The 23,148-nt window shown below is 45.8% G+C and overlaps 1 pseudogene, besides 6 other annotated features; it reads right to left on the reverse strand.

Moving 5' to 3' along the window:
- Window positions 1,810–2,690: an enhancer, noted in NCBI's record as "OCT4-NANOG-H3K4me1 hESC enhancer chr14:65691562-65692442 (GRCh37/hg19 assembly coordinates)". NCBI's record gives its function as "activates a minimal SCP1, AML or CMV promoter by ChIP-STARR-seq in primed H9 embryonic stem cells {active_cell/tissue: H9 hESC(primed)}" and the evidence as "EXISTENCE:reporter gene assay evidence [ECO:0000049][PMID:30033119]".
- Window positions 1,810–3,570: a biological region, named in NCBI's record as "OCT4-NANOG-H3K4me1 hESC enhancers GRCh37_chr14:65691562-65692442 and GRCh37_chr14:65692443-65693322".
- Window positions 2,417–2,711: a silencer, noted in NCBI's record as "tiled region #1051; HepG2 Repressive non-DNase unmatched - State 6:EnhF". NCBI's record gives its function as "represses a minimal TATA promoter and a strong SV40 promoter by Sharpr-MPRA in HepG2 cells {active_cell/tissue: HepG2}" and the evidence as "EXISTENCE:reporter gene assay evidence [ECO:0000049][PMID:27701403]".
- Window positions 2,691–3,570: an enhancer, noted in NCBI's record as "OCT4-NANOG-H3K4me1 hESC enhancer chr14:65692443-65693322 (GRCh37/hg19 assembly coordinates)". NCBI's record gives its function as "activates a minimal SCP1, AML or CMV promoter by ChIP-STARR-seq in primed H9 embryonic stem cells {active_cell/tissue: H9 hESC(primed)}" and the evidence as "EXISTENCE:reporter gene assay evidence [ECO:0000049][PMID:30033119]".
- Window positions 5,929–5,978: a silencer, noted in NCBI's record as "silent region_5848". NCBI's record gives its function as "represses an Ori minimal core promoter by ATAC-STARR-seq in GM12878 lymphoblastoid cells {active_cell/tissue: GM12878}" and the evidence as "EXISTENCE:reporter gene assay evidence [ECO:0000049][PMID:35858748]".
- LOC100420096 (IGF like family receptor 1 pseudogene) lies at window positions 11,481–12,067 on the reverse strand (annotated as a pseudogene).
- Window positions 15,017–15,585: an enhancer, noted in NCBI's record as "H3K27ac-H3K4me1 hESC enhancer chr14:65704769-65705337 (GRCh37/hg19 assembly coordinates)". NCBI's record gives its function as "activates a minimal SCP1, AML or CMV promoter by ChIP-STARR-seq in primed H9 embryonic stem cells {active_cell/tissue: H9 hESC(primed)}" and the evidence as "EXISTENCE:reporter gene assay evidence [ECO:0000049][PMID:30033119]".

Here is a 23,148-nt window from a genome sequence, read left to right on the forward strand (position 1 = left end):
AATGTGCCGATAGACATTTACATTTCCTAGAGAGAAAGTCCTTTGTTCCATCTCTTTCTCCAAGGGCTCTGTGATTCAAAAACCGGGACAGGCACAGTGGCTCACGCCTGTAATCCTAGCACTTTGGGTGGCTGAGGTAGGAGGGTCACTTAAGCTCAGGAGATTGAGACCAGCCTGGGCAACACGGCAAAAACTTGTCCCTGCAAAAAATACAAAAATTAGCTGAGCTTGGTGGCACATGCCTGTAGTCTCAGCTACTTGGGAGGCTGAGGTGAAAGGACTGCTTGAGTCTGCAGTGAGCAGGGTTGACAACACTGCACTACAGCCTGGGCAACAAAGTGAGACCCTATCCCGAAATAAATGAATACATAAGTAAATAAATAAATAAATAATTTAAAAAAAACGTTAAGCAACTACTCCAGTCTTTCCTCGCTAGAGGCCTCACTAATTCTTTACCCCAGCAAGTCCTCTGGGATACTGTAATTCTCCATTTTTTTTTTCATTGAGATGTGTCTCACTCAGGGGACAGAAAACACCATCTGTTATTTGAACAGAGAAGGTAATGTAAGAATTACTGGGGCCGAGCACAGTGGTTCACACCTCTAATTCCAGCACTTTGGGTGACCGATGAGAGAGGATCACTAGAGTCCTGGAGTTTGAGACCAGCCTGGAAAACATAGTGAGATTTCATCTCTACAAATAATAAAAAATTAGTAGGGTGTGGTGGTGTGTGTCTGTAGTCCCAGCTACTCCGGAAGCTGAGGCAGGAGAATTGCTTGAGCCCCGGAAGTTGATGCTGCAGTGAGCCATGATTGTTCCACAGCACTCAGTGTGAGTAACAGAGTGAGATCCTGTCTCAAAAAAAAAAAAAAAAAAAAAAGGTTGTTAACTAGATAACTAAAAGAGGACACTAAGGTGTCACAGTAAAAGCAACTGCAGGTTGGCCGGGCGCAGTGGTTCACACCTGTAATCCCAGCACTTTGGGAGGCCAATGCAGGCAGATCACCTGAGGTCAGGAGTTCAAGACCAGCCTGGTCAACATGGTGAAACCTCATCACTACTAAAAATACAAAAGGTAGCTAGGCATGGTGGCACACGCGTGTAGTCCCAGCTACCCGGGAGGCTGAGGCAGGAGAATCGCTTGAACCTGGGAGGTGGAGGTTGCAGTAAGCCAAGAATACGCCACTGCACTCCAGCCTGGGCAACAGAGCGAGACTCTGTCTCAAAAAAAAAAAGACCAGGTATGGTGGCTCACGCCTATAATCCCAGAATTTTGGGAGACCGAGGCAGGCAGATCATGAGGTCAGGAGTTTGAAACCAACCTGGCCAACATGGTGAAACCCCATCTCTACTAAAAGTACAAAAATTAGCCTAGCGCAGTGGGGGGCTCCTGTAATCACAGCTACTCAGGAGGCTGAGGCAGAATTGCTTGAACCCAGGAGGTGGAGGTTGCAGTGAGCCAAGATCGCGCCACTGCACTCCAGCCTGGGTGACAGAGCAAGACTCTGTCTTGGAAAAAAGAAAAAAATAAATAAATAAATAATTTTTATTTATTTATAAAATAAATACTAAACTGCAGGAAGCAGCCCCTGCCCCTGGGACTGAGAATAGGAAGGGGTGGGAATTATTAAAACTTGAAAACTTGGGACTCAGACTCCACGGAGGGGGCACCGCTTGGCTGGGCTGGCATTTCTGAGCTGGAGAGGGGCCCTGAGGACCCGACATCTCCTGGGAGAACAAGAGCATGATGAGGCTGGTTCTGTCAGTGCTGGAAAAACTGCAAACTACATTCAACTGCTGCTCCAAGAAGGAGCTGCTACTGCCAGGGTGAAGAGGTGAGACTAGAGTGACACTGACAGGTACAGAAAACCCACAGGAAGCAGACAGGAAGGAAGGAGGCCTTTCTTTCTCTCTCACCATGCTGTTCCCTCTGGGGCCTCCCGTGGGAAGGGCCTAATGTGGAGCCAGCTGGCAAAGCAAAACTGTGGTTGGCAGAGTCCTAGCCCAGCATCACAAAGCAAGCACAGAAGGGCAGGTTTGGAGCTGAGAGACAATAAGTGAAGAAGGTCTCCCAAAACATTTTGTTTACTGTAATATGTACAGCCATTATCCAAACCATTCATCCAGAGGGATTCAATCTCTTAATAGATTCATCATCAGGCAGTGTCTAGGGGCATAGCTAGTGGATTTGTTTGGGATTCCCAATGGGCAAACAATAGCAGCCATAGCCATCTGCTGCCACGGTCTTACAGCAATGAGCACAGAGGTGGCTGTCACCATTGTCAATCTCAGGTCAGGACGGGTTTCTAAATCGGGTGGGGAGCAATGGAGACCTCTTGGTTGTAGCCCCACTGTGGCTGTGGAAATTGGCCTATCTATATGGTTGGTTTCACTTCTCCAGTGAAGTCTGGGATTCTGACCCAGAGACCACTCAAAACCACAAACCAGTCTTCCCTGAGCACTTGTCAATCTCCCAGGATTGGAAACGTGGCTAGCCATTGTGCTGAACAAACAAGACTCACGGAGTGTATTCACAAGCAAATTTATTTGATTTCCCACTGTTCTTTTTCATCTGCCCGGGGAAGCCAGATCTTCCTCTGCCCCAGATGAAATTTAGAGCAAGTCTATGACTTTCTGGTCACACTTAGTAATATCAGCAATCTTCCGGTCACTTTAAACCACATAGTACGCATTTAGTAACTAAATTATTCAGTCCCATAACTTCTTGCTTTAAAGTTGAAACTTCTCCCCCATCCCAGCTCAGGATCCTTGAAAGGTGAAGACAAAGGAGACTGGGGAAAGGGTATGTGGTCAGCTGCTAACATTTCTCCTCCTCCTTCCCCAGATTACTAGCCATGAGTCCTGCCTCTTTCAGAGCTGGAGTCCTGCAAATGAGAAGAGGCCAGGGAAGCAGGAAAGTTCTTGCTTGACTGGCCCTGGCTTGGGAATTTAGCATCTGCTCGCTCTGGACTTGGCAAATAATTGACAGCTGACTCTCACCAGGTCTTTGCAGTGACCTTCCGGCCACTGAGGAGCTCTTCCCTGCAGTTTGCTTCACAGGACAAATGCTTTCCATGCTTGCTACTCACTCACTCCTTCCTCAACCCTCTGAACCTGGTGATACCTTGAGCTTCTCTCTGAGAGGCCAGTTTGCCCCTCCATGCAGCACTCTTGAACAATCTAAGATAACCCCTCACTGCCAGGCCTTTCCTGGATGTGGCCCACATTGGCCACACACATACACACACCCTCTATCATGACAAATTTGGAGAGCACAGGGTGTCCTAGCCTCCTCCTTTGGCCTCCACCTTACTCCACAGTCAAAGCTAGGGTCAGCCTATTGCTGTCCTTTGGCTTTTTCAGATGGGAACTGGACGCCTGTGCACTGAGTTCCCTAAGCTACAAGAAATGTGTATTAAGCCCTCTCAGTGGACAATTGAAACCCCATTCCCTGAGCTTGTGATGAGGTCCCTATACTTCCTCTCTTCTCCTATGGGACTCACAACCCACCAAAAACTATGTCCGGAAATCCTCCTTTCTCATCTGCCAGACTGGCCATTCTATCACCATGAATGCAGAGTGCAAGAGTCAAAACTAGTTAGTTTTTTCTTGCCTGCTTTCTCCCCACTCTGCACGTGGTCTTGTGCCTAGCTTAAAATGCCATTGCTATTGTCTTCAGGCCTTAGCAGAACTTCTTTGTTAATATCTTGTTACATGTTTACGTTGAGAAAAAAATGAATAAAGTAACCGGATTGCTTTATTATTCTACAAGCAACAATATGCTCAAAGCTTCATATTCTCAAAGCTTCCAAACACGAGTAAAATGGCTAGAACATGACTTTTTAGGTCCTGCAGGAACTGTTCAGATAGAGGAGAGGAGAAATGTTGCGAAACTTCCTCCAGGGCTTTGGAATCATCTCTCAGCTGAAATTACTAAACTCTTTCTAATCCTTTGGAGAAGGATCTAAAACTCTGGGACGGTTTCAAGGGTTACCATCTACCTCACTGGTTTACCATGAGGATTAAATCAGATAATGGTATATGCAAACATAATTTGTAATTGTGTAAACTAGAAGGTAAACACACAGACGTGTATGGGACAATCATAGCTATGGATACTTTAAAGGAATTTTAATTACCTAGAATTTCTAAAGAGCTCTCAGCAGGTATTTACAGTTCAAAGAGGAAATTTTGCTCTTTCAGACTAGATCTGGAGCAAACAATGGGGCTGTTTGGCAAGTGTTTCTGAGAAAACAGTCCACCTAGAGTGTACATTAGCAACAGTGAGAGATTACAGGGTAGGTGGCAGACAGGGCCCACCCCAGGTGTGGCCTACCCCAGGGTCACCTGCATGCTGTTCTCAGTGTACCTGCTCTGGCCTTCGGAGAGGGCTTGTCCCTCAGGCGGAGAGGCAGTGAATCCCCCAGGAGCGGTCTTACTGATGCAGGATGGGGCAAAGTTCCCCAGGGACCATTCTGAGGTGTGTTCCAATTTCTCAGGGCCTGCCCTTCCATGGTAACCTGTTCCCCAGCACCTTTATTGACTTGCCTCCCTTCCCTACCTCTTTCCTCATTCTCTCAGAGCTTTCTAGGATCACAAACCAACTGCTTGCACTCAAACCTTTGCCCCAGCTTCCTTCGCACCAAGCGTGATCTTAATCATTTTTCCCAATACTTCATTCATAGTAATTTTTTTTTATTTTTATTTTTTTGAGATGGAATCTTGCTCTGTTGCCCAGGCTGGAGTGCAGTGGCGCGATCTCGGCTCACTACAAGCTCCACCTCCCGGGTTCACACCTTTCTTCTGCCTCAGCCTCCCGAGTAGCTGGGACTACAGGCACCTGCCACCACGCCTAGCTAATTTTTTGTATTTTTAGTAGAGACAGGGTTTCACTGTATTAGCCAGGATGGTCTCCATCTCCTGACCTCGTGATCCGCCCGCCTTGGCCTCCCAAAGTGCTGGGATTACAGGCGTGAGCCACCGTGCCCAGCCCATTCATAGTAATCTTAAAAGTATGTGCTGTTGGCTGAGCATGGTGACTCACGCCTGTAATCCCAGCACTTTGGGAGGACAAGACAGGCAGATCACCTGAGGCTGGGAGTTCGAGACCAGCCTGACCAACATGGAGAAACCCCGTCTCTACTAAAAATACAAAATTAGTCGGGCGTGGTGGCACATGCCTGTAATCCCAGCTACTCGGACGGCTGAGGCAGGAGAATCGCTTGAACCTAGGAGGAGGAGGTTGTGGTGAGCTGAGATCACGCCATTGCACTCCAGCCTGGGCAACAAGAGTGAAACTCTGTCTCAAAAAAACAAAAAGTAGGTGCTGTTATGATTCCTTACTTTATAGATGAGGAAACTGAGGCACCGAGACTTGCTGAAGGTCACATAACTTGCAAATGATAGAGCAATTTGCTTCTAGAATCCACACTCTCAATTACTCACTGTACTTTTCCAACTATTGACTACCAAATAAGCCGACCCAGGGAGCCTGGTATCATTCATCGAATTGTTTTGAGAAGCCTAACTCAGGGATTGCTGAAAGGCAGAAGAGTGTAGTAAGATCAGTGAAGATTTGAGAACTGAAAGCCTGAGTGCAAAACCACATTCTACCTCCACTTATCAGCTGAATGACCTCAGGCAAATCACTTCTGTGACTCTCAGTTTAAACCTTACTTGTAACACCAAGTGATGGTGGGGTAGTGAAAAATCATGCCTGACTTATGGGGTTTTGGTGAGGTTGAAATGAGGTGAAGCTTTGGAGCATTTGGCAAACTGTGATGGAAGATTCTGGATGCCATGACACCTGGCTTCTGATTCCTTCCTCTGTAGAGCCAGCCCTTTAGCCCATCTTCCAGGACATAGGACTGTCACCTGCTCCTTCCTTAAAAGAGTCAGTGTGATGTAAGTTAGGATGATGTAGGTGTGTAGTGTGCTTGTTAGCATGGTGTAGGTTTGGTATGGTGTAAGTATTGTATAATGGTGGAAGTTTGGAATCTGATAGTAATCCGAATCCCAGCTCTGCTATTTCTACCTTTAAAAAAAACCCCCCACAAAACAGACCAAAAAACGGCCAGGTCATTGCATCTGTGCAAGGGCTCAGTTTTTTCATCTGTAAAATGGGAATAGTAAGACAGGCCTGTGGAAAGGGCTAAGGCATTGCACAGAAAATGCTTAGCACAGCCCAGCACGTGTTCGTGCTCAAAACATGGGAGTTAATTATTACTATTGAGTTTATGTGGGAAAAATAGAGCTATCCAAAGACGGGAAAAATAGAGCTATCCAAAGACAGGAAAAAAGAAGGTTGATTTGACTGATTTCACAGGATATTTATTATGAGAATTATTAGGTTTCTCCATCCACTCGAGAGAAAGTGAGAAAGCCTCAATCTGTCATTGTGTTCCTGTCTACATTCAAATTCCACACATCTTAGTGGGGGTTAAGGATAGGGAGGGTTGGAAGAGAAAATAGTTTTGGAAGCCATTATGGAAAGCAACAATGACACAACACAAAAGAGAGCTATAGCAGTGAACACCCATTGAATTCCTTAAATATAAACAAAAGCTTTATTTCTGAATCTTGCCTCCCTCCACCCCAATCAAACAAGAAGAATGTGGGGAGGCAGCGGAGGGGGGCTGTGAAGAGGGCTGGGTAGGAGTGCAGGGAGACAGCAGGGCTAAAAAGACCTCCCTCTGCAGCCGGGGGTGGAATATGCAAGGGGCTGGGCCGGGGCAGAAATGTGGGCGCGGAGGGAAAGAAGGTCGGAGCCACAGGGGAGGTGAAAGAGAAAGCCGGCTATGGCCTCCTGACTGAGCAGCGCGCCTGATCCGTGGCTCCCTTCCTCCGTGGGCCCGCCCAGCCCTAGGGGTTCACGGGAGAGGACCTGTTGGTCTCCCTGGCTCTGTGAGAACCACTTTACTTTGCTCAGGGGGCTTAAGTGCCTATTTGAAACTCAGCACTTGTTAACTTGTCACGGCATAAAAGAAGGGAGAGAGGCCTGACATTTTCCCAACCCCTGAAAGTGAAAGAAGAAAGGGCTCTTTACTTTCAGGGCCACATCCTGAATGACGGGGTCAGTGTCTGCAACTGATCCGTGTGGGCGCAGACTTCTAATTATTTCCTGGATAACCTGTTATCTATTATCCATCGGGCTGCTTGCCAGAGTATGCTAATGTCTCCATCGTTTCTGGTCTGGATTCTGAGGAGCGGGTTTTTGTTTTTTGTTTTAAAGGGGAAGTAGAGTTGGGGGGCAGGCAGCTGTAAGATTCCCGGTAGCAGGAAGGCTGTCCTCTCCTCTGCCGTTAGACTGCATGATGGGGAGCAATGCCCAGGAACCCACGCTGATGCCCCGCGGAAACCGGCAGTCACTCCTCTTTCTCTTGGCTACTTGACTTACGCTCTTCTGGGAGTCTTAGCTTTATCGGAAACTTCTGGAAAAGCTTCTGAGAGAGAAATGTTTTTCTGGACTGCTCTCATTTGCTTGGAGAACAAGGAAACTCTTCAAATAACGTTTTGTTTGGGGACAGGAGGGAAGGGAGGGAGTCAGAATTCAATAGGCCTGTTCTTCTGTTGAGTGGGGGCAGAACTTGGCTGTCATCCAGGTGAGCTCCGTATCAACCATCAGTTACACCCCTGGCCTCTATTATTTGTACTAAGGCACAATGAAATGTCATTGAGTGGGAGGAGTACACAACTATAGGGCATAATTCTTTTTCTTATTATAAAAATAGCATACTTCTGATTCAAGCAACAGAGTCAGAAAAATAAGTACATTTAAAACATTAAAAAATTTTTAAGGTATTGCATGTTTATTTTAAAAATTGAAACTCATACACTGTATACATGTATCAAAATATCACAGTTTCCCATAAATATGTACAATTATTATGTGTCAATTAGAAATAATGATAAAAGCCTGTAATCCTAGCACTTTGGAAGGTGGAGGTGGGCGGATCACTTGAGGTCAGGAGTTCAAGACCAGCCTGGCAAACATGTATAAACCCTGTCTCTACCAAAAATACAAAAATTAGCCGGGCGTGGTGGCAGGCGCCTGTAATTCCAGCTACTGGAGAGGCTGAGGCAGGAGAATTGCTTGAACCTGGGAGGTGGGGGTTGCAGTGAGCTGAGATTGCGCCACTGCACTCCAGCCTGGGTGACACAGCGAGACTCCTTCTCAAAAAATAAAAAATAAAAAAATTATAATAATGATAAAAGCCAAAAAAAAAATTGAAAACTCCAAGAAGAGCAAAAAGAAACCCAAAAGTTCATTCCACAGAGATAATCACTGTTAATATTTTGGTGTATCTTCTTCAACCTTTTAAAATAATGCTAATTTATATCTGCAAGAAACAGGGTGTTTGATTTAAAAGAATACAATGGTGCCCTGTGATTGTTTGGCTGCATCTAGGAGATAATGTGTCCTTTAGCATTGGGGATTAGGATTAACTTTCTCAAATCCTCAGAGGGTCAGTTTTATGAGGCTAAGATAAAGCAAGGCTCCTAGTCCAGCGGGCTCCAGTAGTGTCTAAAATCCAGGACCTTTGGTTTTAAGCACTTATTTCACTTATGTGCATGAAAAGAAGGAGGAAGTTCAGGTGAAGCTGCCCAGGAGTAGAGAAAGACTGCATGTGAATTCATGTGATCAGAAAGCAAACAGGCAGATACTGAACCAGCCGTCCCATGGTAAACATCTAGAAAACTAGACAAAGTACATGAAACGACTGTGTTCACACATCTCAGATATTTCCTGAGAGAAGTGAAACAAATGAGGCGATCCCTACATTGCCGCAGCTTTTTGCCTAGAAGCACATTCCAGACTACTACCTGGAGACGGGAAGCCAAGCAGAACACAGAAGTCTTGCTGAGTTGAGGAGACAGAGACCCAAGGTGGTTGGAATTTGCCAGGCAGATTACCAGGGAGGAGAGAACTGCACAAAGACCTCTAGACACTTGACAAAAGTACTTGTCTAAAGTATTTGGTTGAATACTAGGCTACACATGCCCATGGTAAGGCTCCATGAGTCTGGATAAATAGCAACAATGGGAAATAACAAATACTGGTGAGCTATAAACTGAGCGCTTCCAGAAGCCTATACGTAGTTGGAAGTTTTTTGAGCTCTAGCCAGCTAGCCAGCTAGAATAAATTATTTATTTATAATAATAAACTATTTATTATTAAATATAATAAACTATTGTAGCCAGCTAAAATAAATAGTTCAGTGGGGTCTCACTGAACACCTGGGACATTTAGTAGAGACCCCAGAAAACCTAGGCCTTAGGAGTAAGACTTAACTAGCTCTAGAGAGAAGGTTTCTCTAGGCCTGCTCTCACAAAGCTTGAAAACAAGCCCCAAAAGGATCATGATGATCATTAAGAAACTTAAACTACCTCACTAAAATAAAAAGGACAGTCTCTCAACACCATAACCCTTATAATGTTCAGCATCCACTAAAAAGTTTTTTTTTTTTAGGCGGAGTCTTGCTCTGTCACCCAGGCTGGAGTGCAGTGGCGTGATCTCTGCTCACTGCAAGCTCCGCCTCCCGGGTTCATGCCATTCTCCTGTCTCAGCCTCCCTAGCAGCTGGGACTACGGGCGCCCACCACCATGCCCGGCTAATTTTTTGTATTTTTAGTAGAGACGGGGTTTCACCGTGTTAGCCAGGATAGTCTCAATCTCCTGACCTCGTGATCCTCCTGCCTCAGCCTCCTAAAGTGCTGGAGTTACAGGCATGAGCCACCACACCGGGCCTAAAAAGTTTCTTTAAAATTTTTTTTTGGGCCGGGCATGGTGGCTCATGCCTGTAATCCCAGCACTTTGGGAGGCCGAGGCGGGTGGGTCACCTGAGGTCAGGAGTTCGAGACTAGCCTTGGCCAACATGGTGAAACCCCATCTCTACTAAAAATACAAAAATTAGTCCGGCATGGTGGCACATGCCTGTAATCTCAGCTACTCAGGAGGCTGAGGCAGGAGAATCGCTTGAACCTAGGAGGTGGAGGTTGCCGTGAGCCAAGATGGTGCCATTGCACTCCAGCCTGGGTGACAAGAGTGAAACTTCGTTTTAAAAAAATTTTTAATTTTTCATTTTTGGGGTTACATAGTTGTGTATATATTTATGCGGTACATGAGATACTTTGATACAAGCATGGAATGCATAATAATCCCATCATGGAAAATGGCATATCCTTCTCCTCAAGCATTTATCCTTTGTGTTACAAGCAATCTAATTACATTCTTTTAGTTATTTTAGAATGTATAATTAAATTATTTTTTATTATAGTCTCCCTATTCTATCAAATACTAGGTCTTATTCATTCTTTCCAACTTTTTTTTGGTACCCATTACCCTACTCTACCTCTCCCCCATCTCCTCCCTGCCCCCCGCCACAAGCCTTCCCAGCCTCTGGTAACCGTCCTTCTAACTGACTTATCTCCATGAGTTCAATTGTTTTGATTTTTACATCCCACAAATAAGTCAGAACATGTAATGTTTGTCTTTCTGTGCCTGGCTTATTTCATTTAACATAATGACCTCCAGTTCCAGCCATGTTGCAAATGATAGGATCTCATTCTTTCTCAAAGCTGAATAGTACTCCATTGTGTATATCTACCACGTTTTCCTTATGCATTCATCTGTGGATGGATATTTAGGTTGGTTTCAAATCTTGGCTATTGTGACAGTGCTGCAACAAACATGGGAGTGCAGACATCTCTTCAATACACTGATTTCCTTTCTTTTAGGTTCATACCCAGCAGTGGGATTGCTGGACCATATGGTAGCTATATTTTTAGTTTTTTGAAGAACCTCCAAACTGTCCTTCAGAGTGCTTGTACTAATTTACATTCCCACCAACACTGTACATGGATTCTCTTTTCTCCACATCCTCACCAGCATTTATTATTGCCTGTCTTTTGTATATAACCCATTTTGACTGGGGTGAGATGATATCTCACTGTGGTTTTGATCTGCATTTCTTTGATTATCTGTGATGTTGAGCACCTTTTCATATACCTGTTTGCCATTTATGACTTCTTTTGAGAAATGCCCATTCAAGTCTTTTGGGCATTTTTTATTGGAGTATTAGATTTATTTTCCTGTAGAGTTGTTTGAGCTCCTTCTATATTCTGATTGTTAATCCTTTGTCAGATGGGTAATTTGCAAATATTTTCTCCCGTTCCGTAGGTTGTCTCTTCACTTTGTTGGTTGTTTCCTTTGCTGTGCAGAAGCTTGTTAACTTGACGTGATCCCATTTGTCCATTTTTGCTTTGGTTGTCTGTGCTTGTGGGGTATTACTCAAGAAATATCTTCCCCAACCAATGTCCTGGAGAGTTTCCCCAATGTTTTCTTTTAGTAGTTTTATAGTTTGAGGTCTTAGATTTAAGTCATTAATCCATTTTGATTTGATTTTTGTAGAGACAGAAGGGAGGGTTAAAGGGGAGGAAAAGCAGTCTTTCAGTCCACCTTTCCCCTCCTGGGTACCTTCTGGACTAATCCCTGCTCAGTAGTGGAAGCAGAGGGGGCTCCTTCCCTGCATCCTGTCTCCAATGCCTCCAAGGCGCCTGGGGAGGACAAGCGTGAGGAGGAGAGGGAGTGGATGTTGGGTCCTCTGCCAACCAAGCCAGGACAGGGAAGGGGGTTGGCTTTTCCCTTGGGCCAGCAGAGGTCCCTCAGCAGAGAGAGAAGGAGGACCACTTCACTGGCAAGGTCAGGAGCAGTATCAGCACCAAGGGTAAGACTAAACTTAGCAAGGCATACTGAGAGATGCACACTGAGGTCAACGAGACATTAGAACTCACTGGTGAGTTGGACTCCTAGGAGCAAGGGGTGCTCAGCTTTCCAAGTGTTAGAGGGCAGTACCCCTTGGGTTCGGACTGACCTCTCTGCAGCACCACGGGGTCCTGTCCCAGCTCTCAGCAGGCATTGGGGCCCTGGCTCTGCTACAGCAGGGGCTACATAGCTCTCTGCTGTTGGGGTTGCACTGCCCAGGAGAACACTCTTGGAATGAGTGTATTAAGAGATTGCAGTGGTCATTGAAACTGCAGTTTTCCACAACCTCATAGTATAGTGGGAGAGCTGGGCTCCAGTGTCTAAAAAGTTTCCTGACATCCGAAAAAGCAGGAAAAATGTACTGAGAGAGATGATGCAATTAGTAGGCAAGAAACTTAAAGCAGCTATTGTACGTATGCTCAAAGATTTAAAGGAAAACATAAATATAATGAAGAGAGAAATAGAAACTATAAAAAGGAAACAAATGGAACTTTTAGAACTGAAAAAATACATCTGAGATGAAAAATTAGGTACTGCAAAGGAACTTGAAGACATAGCCATAGAAACTATCCAAAAGGCAGCACACAAAGAAAAAGAAGGAGCAAAGTCTCAGTGATCTGTGGGACATCTCAAGGTCTGATATACATGTAATGGGAGTACATGTATATGGCAAGAGGCAAGAGGCAGAAAAAAATATTTGACGAAGTAATAGTTGAAAAACCTTCCAATTTCAACCCATAGAGTCAAGAAATTTAACCATTCCCCTAGCAGAATAAATACAAAGAAAACTACATGAAGGCAGTCAAATTGCTGAAAACCAATGATACAAAGAAAGTCTTTAAAACAACCAGAGAGGCCGGGCACAGTGGCTCATGCCTGTCATCCCAGCACTATGGGAGGCCAAAGTGGGTGGATCATGAGGTCAGGAGTTTGAGACCAGCTTGGCCAACACGGTGAAACCCCATCTGTACTAAAAATACAAAAAATTAGCTGGGTGTGGTGGCGGGTAACTGTAATCCCAGCTACTCGGGAGGCTGAGGCAGGAGAATGGCGTGAACCTGGGAGGCAGAGCTTGCAGTGAGCCAATATGGTGCCACTGCACTCCAGCCCAGGCGACAGTGCAAGACTCCGTCTCCAAAAAAAAACCAAAAACAAAACAAAACAACAACCAGAGAAAAAAGACACAGAAAGCAAATCAGAGGTTGCCCGGGGTGGAGAGATTATGACGCAGGTGTTCCATGTCTTCACAGCAGTGGTAATGGTGGTGGTTGTGGTGTATGTGTGTTTGGATTTTAGAAATCATTAGTTCATACTAACACATCCAGTTCCAATCTAACCCACCCATAATTATATCTTCCCTCTTCCATAGTTAAGAACTCTGGCTCCGGCCGGGCATGGTGGCTCACGCCTGTAATTCCAGCACTTTGGGAGGCTGAGGCAGGCAGATCACGAGGTCTGGAGGTCGAGACCATCCTGGCTAACACGGTGAAGCCCCGTCTCTACTAAAAATACAAAAAATTAGCCGGGCATGGTGGCGGGCGCCTGTAGTCCCAGCTACATCAGCTCCCAGGAATGCTAAGGAAGCAGGGTGATGTGGGGGAACGGAAAACACGCCCAGGCCCAGCACAGCCACCAGCTGTGGGCATGTGACCTGTGCTCAAACCCTTCTCCTTTCTAGGCCTGTTTCCGTCTCCAGTCGAGGAATCTCTGTGGACTTACTCCATTCAGAACATTTATGACTCCGAGAGGAAGCCGATGTACTACTTCTCTTGGAGGGTGACGTGGGAAGGTCCATCTCCAGATGTGGCCTTATTTGGCTAGCCAATGCAATGACCAGGTGTGTTCCAGAAAAGTTCAGCAGTGAGAAGCCAGACTGTGAATGACCCAAGAGCAGGGATGAGGACTTCTCTAGCTTTCAGTTCTTGCCTCAGGCATAAAACCTGGCACCTAAAACTTTGTTTAGCTGAACAAAGGGATTCTGGGAATGACTTTTTTTTTTTTTTTGCTTTGATCTCCCAGATTCCACCACCTTTGCTCATGGAAAGGAACTGATTGTGAATATTTTAGCCAGCAGGCCTATAAATGCTACCTTCTGAGGAGCTGAAAAAGAATTTGAATTGTTTCTCATCAGAGATAGCTGGGCCATAGAATAGTGCTGAAACTGGGTGACAGGAAACTTTGGTGCAAGTTCCTTGGGTCTGTCTGAGACCTCAGGCCTCTGCAGGGTGTCATAGCCCCTCATCTTCTTTTAGAATCACTGCCATCTCCTGCCTGGGGTTGGGAGGTCACACAGGAACACAGGAGGGGAGGGAGGGAACTTCTGGGGTGATTGTGAAAGAGATGCAGGAATTGGAAGAGAGAAAGAAGTGGGAGGGGAGAGAGAGAGATAGGAGAGAAAGAAGTGGGGAGAGACAGAGAGAGACAGGAGCAAAGGAGAAAGATTGATTTTAACAGTAGATTATTTCCCTCCAGGGAATTTTCAAAGGCAAAACAAAAACAAAACCCACAAATACCATTTTTTCCCTCTTTATCTCTGCTGTGGTCTGAAGGTTTGTGTCTCCTCAACATTCTTGTGTTGAAACTTAATCCCCAGTGGGATCCTATTGAGAGGTGTGGTGTTTGGAAGCATATAGGGAAGGACGGCTTCATCCTCACAAATGGGATGAGTGTCCTTAAGAGGCCTGAGGGAGCTTGTTCTCCCCTTCAGCCATATGGGGACACATAAAAGGAACCATCTATGTTCATCTTGAACAGCAGGCTCTCACCAGACATTTAATCTGCTGATGCTTTGAACGTGGACTTCTCAGCCTCCAGAAGTGTGAGCAATACATTTCTAGTGTTTATACATTACCCAGTCTAAGGTATTTCGTTATAGCATCCCAAACTGACTAAGACAATCTCTTTCCTTCCTGCCCACCTCTCCCAACTCCACTGTCCCCCTCCCGCCCACGAACAGAAATTTTTGAACTAGTGCAGAGATTGCTGAACAGGGGCTCCCAACAATCCACTCTTGGATCAATAAGAAGTTTAAGAGATAAACCATCCATGCAGAGGGCCCCCAGCTAGGAGACAGGAGGCACTCTCAGCCCCATCACTCCCTAGCTGTGTGAGCCTAAACAAGGTGCTTTTGCAAGTGTGGATCATTGGGAAGGACTGCTTCTTTCCCCTTCCTGATATGTCCTTCCCTGGGCAGGGAACTCTCCTAAGGGAGCCCTCCTGGCTTCTGTCTGCCCTATAGTCACGCCTTCCCAGGGAGGAGGACACAACAGTTAACTTCCCTTTGCCTTTGTTCAGCCAGCTCTATGCCCACACGGTGACCTATATGGATTACATGAGCGGGATCTCTTATCTTCTGGCCTCCCTTGTAGGGAGGAGGATATGAACCCCACACTCCCTTCCCGCAGGTGGCAGCAGGCTGGCCACAGAACACCCCTTGACTGAAGGCGGTCCCTCCTATCAGATGCTTCTCTTTCTTCGGATTCTGGTAACTGCTCCCTCTGCCTCCATTTCAGCTCTGGGATATTGCACTGTCCTTTGTGGATTCTCCATGCTCTGCCCACACTTTTGTGAAGAATCCTCTTATTAGATTTTTATTCAAATTACACAGTTAGAATATGTCAGCTATCCCTGAATGACAGGAGGGGTGACTGAATTCCACTGGTGAGTTTAGGAGAAATTTGGCCTATTTCAATGCCTTCCTCTTTCTTTCTTCTTAGGGGCCGGTCTTTCTACATTGTTGTGCGATGAAGTGGCGCTACCTCCCCCTGTAGAGAGGCCTGCCCTCCCCAGCACTACCTGAGCGCCTATTCTTTCTTTTTCTTTTTCTTTCTTTTCTTTTCTTTTTTTTTTTTTTTTTTTTGACACAGGGTCTTGCTCCATCACCCAGACTGGAATGCAGTGGTAAACATGACTCACTGCAGCCTTGACCTCCCAGGCTGAGGTGATCTTCCCACTTCAGCCTCCTTAGTAGCTGGGACTACGGGCATGCACCATCACACCCGGCTAATTTATTTTTTGTAGAGATGTGGTCTCACCATGTTGCCCAGGCTGATCTCTAACTCCTGAGCTGAAGTGATCCACCCACCTAGGCCTCCCAAAGTGCTGGGATTACAGGAGTGAGCCACTGTGCCCAGCCTGGGTGCCAGTTCTAACTCATTCTGGGCTTTGGTATTAGGCAGCCCTAAGACAGAAATATATTATTACTCAATATCAGCATTTATATCAGTAATAAATAGGGTCTCCATTTGTTAACTAATTTGTCCTATTTCTCAGCTGGTGGAGGACTTGGGTTGGTAGGGGGTGTTACTGGGCCCCCTCAAATACCTCACATGGGTAGATAGCCTCCCTGGCCGCTCAGGACCACTGGGTGGAAGAGGCTGTCACATGAGCCCTTATGTAATGGCTATTAGGAAACTCTCTTTAAGATAGCTGTGGCTTCTCTTTTCCCAGTGGTATCCTGCCCTTTCCAGAGGAGGCTGCCGTGAGGTGATTGGAAGGAATGTGTCCTGGTCTCCATCAGAGCTGTTGAGTCAGTCACTTGGCCGCTCAGCAGAATTGCTCAAGTAGACTGGGAAGGAGACCCCAGGATAGTTCATGAGTGGCTATGTTACTGTCCCATGGCAGTGCCGAGAGGAGACGCTCATGCACAAAGGGGATCAGAAGCAGGCTTAGGAAGCCCAGCCCTGCAAGCCAAGGGCAAAGGCCAGCCTGCTGTCACCTGCAGGAAGGGAGTGCGGGTTCATATCCTCCTCCTCAGGAGGGAGGCCAGAAGATAAGAGATCATGCTCATGTAATCCACACAGGTCACCCCGTGGGTATAGAGCTGGCTGAACAAGGGCAAAGGGGAGATAGCTGCTGCGTCCTCCTCCCTGGGAAGGCATGACTACAGGGCAGACAGAGGCCAGGAGGGCTCCCTTAGGAGAGTGCCCTGCCCAGGGATTACTAAGGAGGGGCCGTATTCTAGTCTCTCAGTGAAGAGGAGTGGGCAGTTGTACAGGGGAAGAGCCCCGACAACCCTCTGAGCTTCCAGGTCCTGTTGTCCAGCCAGTGGGTTACCCAGGGGAACTCTTTGCTCTTTTGCCTTCTTCTAGGTCCTGCCTCTGCTACTAGTGTTTGGAAATGCTCATTAATTTTAATACTAACATGGGGAAAGCTAATTAGGAAGGTGAATCCACTGCAAAATAAATTATCTGATGCATTTACAAAGGAATGAATTATCTATTGTTCAGGATTGCTCTGCTCCACTCCCCTTCCATTAGCACAGCTCAGAGCCAGCCGGGTGTGAGCTGCACTTGTTCTTCCACTGTGGGGGCCAGAGGATGCTGTAGACAATAAGCATGAATAAGCTTCAAGGAGGAAGAGGTCCTGTTAGGCCAGGGCAGACAGAAAGCCTTCATAGAGCTGGGAATTGAACTAATTTTTAGCTGGGGGAGATATTCTACAACATAATTTGTCATGACTATTCATGATTCCATTGTATAGTTTTTACAATTTGGTCAATCACCTATTGTTGAGTCAATCCCCTATTGTTGAACATCGAAGTTATTTCTATTTTTTGTTGCTATAAATAATACTGTAATGAACATCCTTATATACATATTTTTACATATTTATCCAATATTTAAAGGATATTTTTCTTGAAAGGGAGTTGATGAGTCAAAGGGTAGGCACATATTTTATTTTATTTTATTTTATTTTATTTTTATTTTTATTTTTTTTGAGATGGAGTCTCACTGTGTTGCCCAGGCTGGAGTGCAGTGGTGCAATCTTGGCTCACTGCAAGCTCCGCCTCCCAGGTTCACGCCATTCTCCTGCCTCAGCCTCCCGAGTAGCTGGGACTACAGGCGCCCGCCACCACGCCCAGCTAATTTTTTGTATTTTTAGTAGAGACGGGGTTTCACCGTGTTAGCCAGAATGGTCTCGATCTCCTGACCTCGTGATCGGCCTGCCTTGGCCTCCCAAAGTGCTGGGATTACAGGCGTGAGCCACCGCGCCCGGCCATTATTTTTATTATTGTTTTTGAGGCAGGGTCTTGCTCTGTTGCCCAGGCTGGGGTGCAGTGGTGTGATCATGGCTCACTGCAGCCTGGACTATCCTGGGCTCAAGCTATCCTCCTCCCTTAGCTTCCTGAGTAGCTAGGACTACAGGTGTGTGCCACCACACCCAGCTAATTTTTGTATTTTTAGTAGAGACAGGGTTTTGCCATGTTGCCCAGACTGGTCTCGAACTCCTGGGCTCAAGTGATCTGCCCACCTCAGCCTCCCAAAGTGCTGGGATTACAAGCATGAGCCACTGTGTCCAGCCCACACATTTAAAAAATCATTTTTTTTTCTGATTGCCAAAGTAATACTCACCGTAAAACATTCAAACACAAGATTGTGCTTGAATGTGTTTGAATGTTTTACGGTGAGTATTACTTTGGCAAAAAAAAAAAAAAAAAATAATCAGAGCATCATTGGTTTTGAAAATGAAAGTCTCCTATAGTTTCACATCTCAGAATTATTTTATGCTGACTTTTAAAAATGAGACACTAACATGTAACAGAAACACCTCTGAAGACTTACTTTTCATCACACTTAGAATGGACACCAGAGCCCAGAGCCCACACCACGGCCACATCTCCCTCCACTCTTTCCTCCCCCTACTTTGCTCCAGCTGCTGTGGCTGCCTTGCAGTTTTAGAACCAGTTAAACACGGCAATACTGTAGGCCTCTGTGATGGCTGGTTCTTCCGGTCAGAATATCCTTGCCCCAAATATTCAGGTAATTCCCGCCCTCACTTTTATTCAGGTCTCTGCTCAACTGTCACTATTTTGGAAAGCCCCTCTCTAAGCATCCTAAGCAGAATAGCACACCTCATAATTCAGTTTCTTCATACCACGTATCATTACGTGACATTTAATTCTGTCTATTTATTTGCTTACTGTCTATTTAGAAAACTGTGAGAGCAGCCGGGTGCAGTGGCTCACGCCTGTAATCCCAGCACTTTGGGAGCCTGAGGCGGGTGGACCACTTGGGGCCAGGAGTTCGTGACCAGCTTGGCCAACATGGTGAAACCCCGTCTCTACTAAAAATACAAAAAATTAGCTGGGCATGGTGGTGCACGCCTGTAGTCCCAGCTACTCGGGAGGCTGAGGCAGGAGAATTGCTTAAAACCGGGAGGCAGAAGTTGCAGTGAGCCGAGATCGTGTCACTGCACTCCAGCCTGGGCGACAAGAGCGAAACTCTGTCTCAAAAAAAAAAAAAAAGAAAACTGTGAGAGCAAGGACTTTGCCTTGCTCTCTGCATATCCCCAGTACCTGGAACAGAAACTGGCACATAATAGGTGCTTAATAAATGCATGTTGAATGATTGAATAAAATTAAACTCTATAGTTCTGAAACCTGTTTTTGTGTGTGTGGTTAACAGGAGTCTCTTAATAGATAATACCTAGTACTTTTTTCAATTCCCTTATACATTCATTTGAAGTGTGCATTATAAAATTCATTGTTCAACATACAAATGAGTATCATTGACTTTGGGATCAAAGGAAGGGAAAATTATTCAAAAGAGCACTGTATGTATTTACACAGATGAAGCTGCTTTTTTACTGAACGGTATATCATGGACATCTTTTCACATCAATATATAAATCTTTCTAGTCTGCACAGTGGTACACAGTTTATTTACCCAATTCTCTTTTGATGGGCATTTGGATTGTTTCCAATTTTTCTATATTATAGACAATGTTGCATTGCACATCCTTACACATATATCCTTTGCATGCTTTTAATGTTTTATATCTTTTATCTGAGATGATGGAAAAACCTACAAGCATGAATGTCTAGCATGAGATTGGAAATGCAGTCTGGGAGCTGAGAGCTATCTAGCTTGGGGGTAGATTGGAGATTTCTTCACACATATCCAATCACTGAAGTAATAGGAATCCATGAAATATAAAGAAGGAAATCGAGCAAAGCTGGAAAACATGAATCTTAAGCAATGTCTGCACTTAGAGGGCAGGAGGAGGGAGGCAAGAAACTATTCATTTTTGACAGTTATTTCTTGATTGGTATTTTCTGAAGACTGGAAACACAATGACACAGTATGAGTGATGTGGACTTTGTTCCTGCCTTCCTGTGGCATACAGTCTCATGGAAGAGGAACGCAGAAAATAAACAGTGAAATCAGATGATCATAATAGAGTGGATAATACAAGATGACATGGAAGTACATAGGAGGGCAATTGCCACAGACGACAGCCTTAATGGAAAGTGCTCTAGAGGTTACCTCTGAGCTGAGCCTGATGTAAATAGGAGTTAGCCAGGTGAGGTGGTGCGGGTCAGGAGTGAGGAAGACTTCCAAGCTGAAGGAACAGCACTTTCAAGGTTCGGAGTTGTGAGGGAATGTGGCACATCCAGGGCACTGAAAAAAAAAGTTTACTGTGTGTGTCAGGAGACACACACAGTAAAGTGTGTGAGAGTGAGGTGGGTGGTGGGGGAGAGGACTGAGAAGTAGGCAGGGGCCATGATAAGAGGTTTGGCTTTAATTTTAAAGGCAATGAAGAATTTTAAGCAGGGAGGTCGTGAGATCAGTTCTGTAGGTACATTAGACAATGACTCCGACTGCAGTGCGGACAATGTATTGAAGGGTGTGGCATGGGAGAGAATAAGACCAGAGGGTCACCTGGTGGGAACCAGGGAAGAGGGGATATGGCTCTAAGTCAGAGTAATAGTGTTGGGCGTAAAGAGCAGTGGATGGATTCTAGAGGCATTTAGGAGGATTGGGAGGTAGAATTGACAGGACTTCGTTACAGGCTGGATTGAAGGGGAGAATGAAAGTGAAGAATCAAAGATGACAAATGAATGCAAAGAGCAGCTCCTGGTTTGGGTAATCGAGATAGGAAGATAAGCTGGTCCGGAAGGCAGTAAGGATGAAAACTTTACCTCTGGACAAGTCCCGTTTTTTGTGGGATGTCCAAGTAGAGGTGTTAAGCAGACAGGAGAGAAAGATCTGGGCTGGAGACAGCTCGGTGTCACGGGCATCCAGACAGAATTGACACCTTGGTAAATGTGAACTCTATAACATCCGGGACTTTGTCTTCTTCATTGTGATACCTCAGGGCTTAGAACCTTGCCTGATTCGTGGTGTGTGCTCAGTAAATATTTGTGGAGTGAAGGAGTGGATGAGATCACTCGGGGAAAGTGAGGGAAGAAGAAGGCCCAAGCCAGAAAGCCAAGGAGCACAGGGAGTGTCACTGCTGCACAGGAGAAAGAGAGACAGAAGGAGGGAGAGAGAGAGACAGGGAGGAGAGAGAGGGAGAGAAAAGAGAGAGGGAGAGAGAGGGGCATGTCAGGGACACAGAGAGGAAGCAGTCAGGGCAGGAGGAGGAGCTGGGCGAGGAGAGGCAGGAAGTGGTGAATAATGTCAAAGCTGTTGAGAGTAACTCAAAGGGGCAACAAAAGTCCAAGAGATTTGGACAACACGGAGGTCATTAGTAATCTTGAGGAGACTGTTTTCAGAGGACAGAGGAGTGACAAGGAAGGGTGTAAGGGGAGATAAGAAGTATACATGACCCTTTCAGGAAGTTTGACTGTGAATTAGGTATAAAAGGCAGTGAAAACAAGAGTATTTTTTTTAAGAGATGGAGACTTATGGATTTTTTCATGATTTTGAGAAAGAACAGCAGAGAGGAGATTAAAGACTCAACAAGATGACAGGATAATTGTTAGAGAGAGGTGAGGAGATGGGAGGAGATGAGATTTCCTTCAAGATGGAGGAATGGGCTCAAGTCAGTAAAGAGACAAGTTCCATTTTAACCAGAAAAATGAAATGCCGGTTACGATGAATTTCCAGGTTTGCAGGTGAGAAGTTGGGGTGTTTCTATCTGGTGTCCTCCAGACTTTCCTTGAGGCCACCAAGCAATGATGGGGAATGGCTATGGAGTAAGGAAAAGCAGTAGCAGAGCAGTGAAACGGGAGTCAATGGGAAAGAGGGGTCCATCCAGAGACAGGGAAGGCAACACAGGCCCAGTATCATGGAGCGAAGAACATGAGGACTGATGAGGCATAGGGCTGGTCAGTTGGGGATTATTCATAATATCTGAAGTTTCTGGAAAGTGATAGAGGTTGGACCCTCTACTGTCAGGATCTGAGAAATGAGCAGATATGTGAGGAGTGAAGTCAGCAGTTATATATAACTGGAGAGAATTCTGGAAGGGGAAAGCAGGAGTAGAGGGAGTGCTAAGGGTCATCTGAGCTTAATTCAGGATTTTTAAAAGAAGTGCAGCTAGGCTTGGACATGGGGCAGGAGAGGGAGGGTTTGAAATGTTGGAGGAAGAGGCCGGGCACAGTGGCTCACGCCTGTAATCCCACCACTTTGGGAGGCTGAGGCGGGTGGATCACCCGAGGTCAGGAGTTCCAGACCAGCCTGGCCAACATGGTGAAGCCCTATCTCTACTAAAAATACAAAAATTAGCTGGGCGTGGTGGCCGGTGCCTGTAATCCCTGCTACTTGGGAGGCTGAAGCAGGAGAATCACTTGAATTCGGGAGGTGGAGGTTTCAATGAGCCGAGATCACATCATTGCACTCCAGCCTGGGCAACAAGAGTGAAACTCCATCTCGAAAAAAAAAGAAAAAATGGTTGGAGGAAGAAGAAACAGAGAAGCCAGAGGGAGATGAGATCAAATGTGTGGTGGATGAGTTAGCCCTAAAATGTGGAGGGACCCTTCTCTTTTGTGACAGGAAAGAAGCTGGACAGGCTTGGCACACCAGCAGAGAGGTGGAGGTATGGACTCGAAATTCCGGGGAAATTGTTATTTCTCTATGGGTTATGCATGGGAGAGCAGGAGGTACTTGTTCTCTACTTTCCCCAAACCTCTACTTCACAGGCAATAAGACATTTGATGCCCACCCCATCCCTAGCAATCTGACCCACTGGTTAGGTCAAAACCGAGGACTAAGCATTTGGCAGTCTCTGCCCTGGCCCTAACAGTTTGAAAGACTATTGTAGCTCCTGCCTCAGTGCCCCCTTTTGGGAAGGAAGAATCACAGAAAATCAGGGCAGGAAGTGAGCTCAAAAACATGCGGTTCACATCTCAAAGTACACAGATGGGAGAAGTTAAGTCACCATCACCGAGTCTCCCAAGCATTCACCTTTTCTCCCCAGCTGTTAATTTATGACTCTCTTGTGAAACTCTTCATCATCTCTCCATTGTCCATGGAAAGAAGTCCTCAGTCTTCAGCTTGGGATTCAAGGCCCTCCACCATTTGGCCTCACTTGACTGCAAGCCTCAGGTTCTACTTCCCTCTTACACATATAAAACCTTTTCATCTGGGCTAATGTTCTTTCAAATTGGAGCACCTTACCTTCATCTCAAATTAATGTTTGTGTATAGTGTGAAATGAC

Source organism: Homo sapiens, chromosome 14 (genome assembly GCF_000001405.40).
Source record: "Homo sapiens chromosome 14, GRCh38.p14 Primary Assembly".
NCBI lineage: Eukaryota > Metazoa > Chordata > Mammalia > Primates > Hominidae > Homo > Homo sapiens.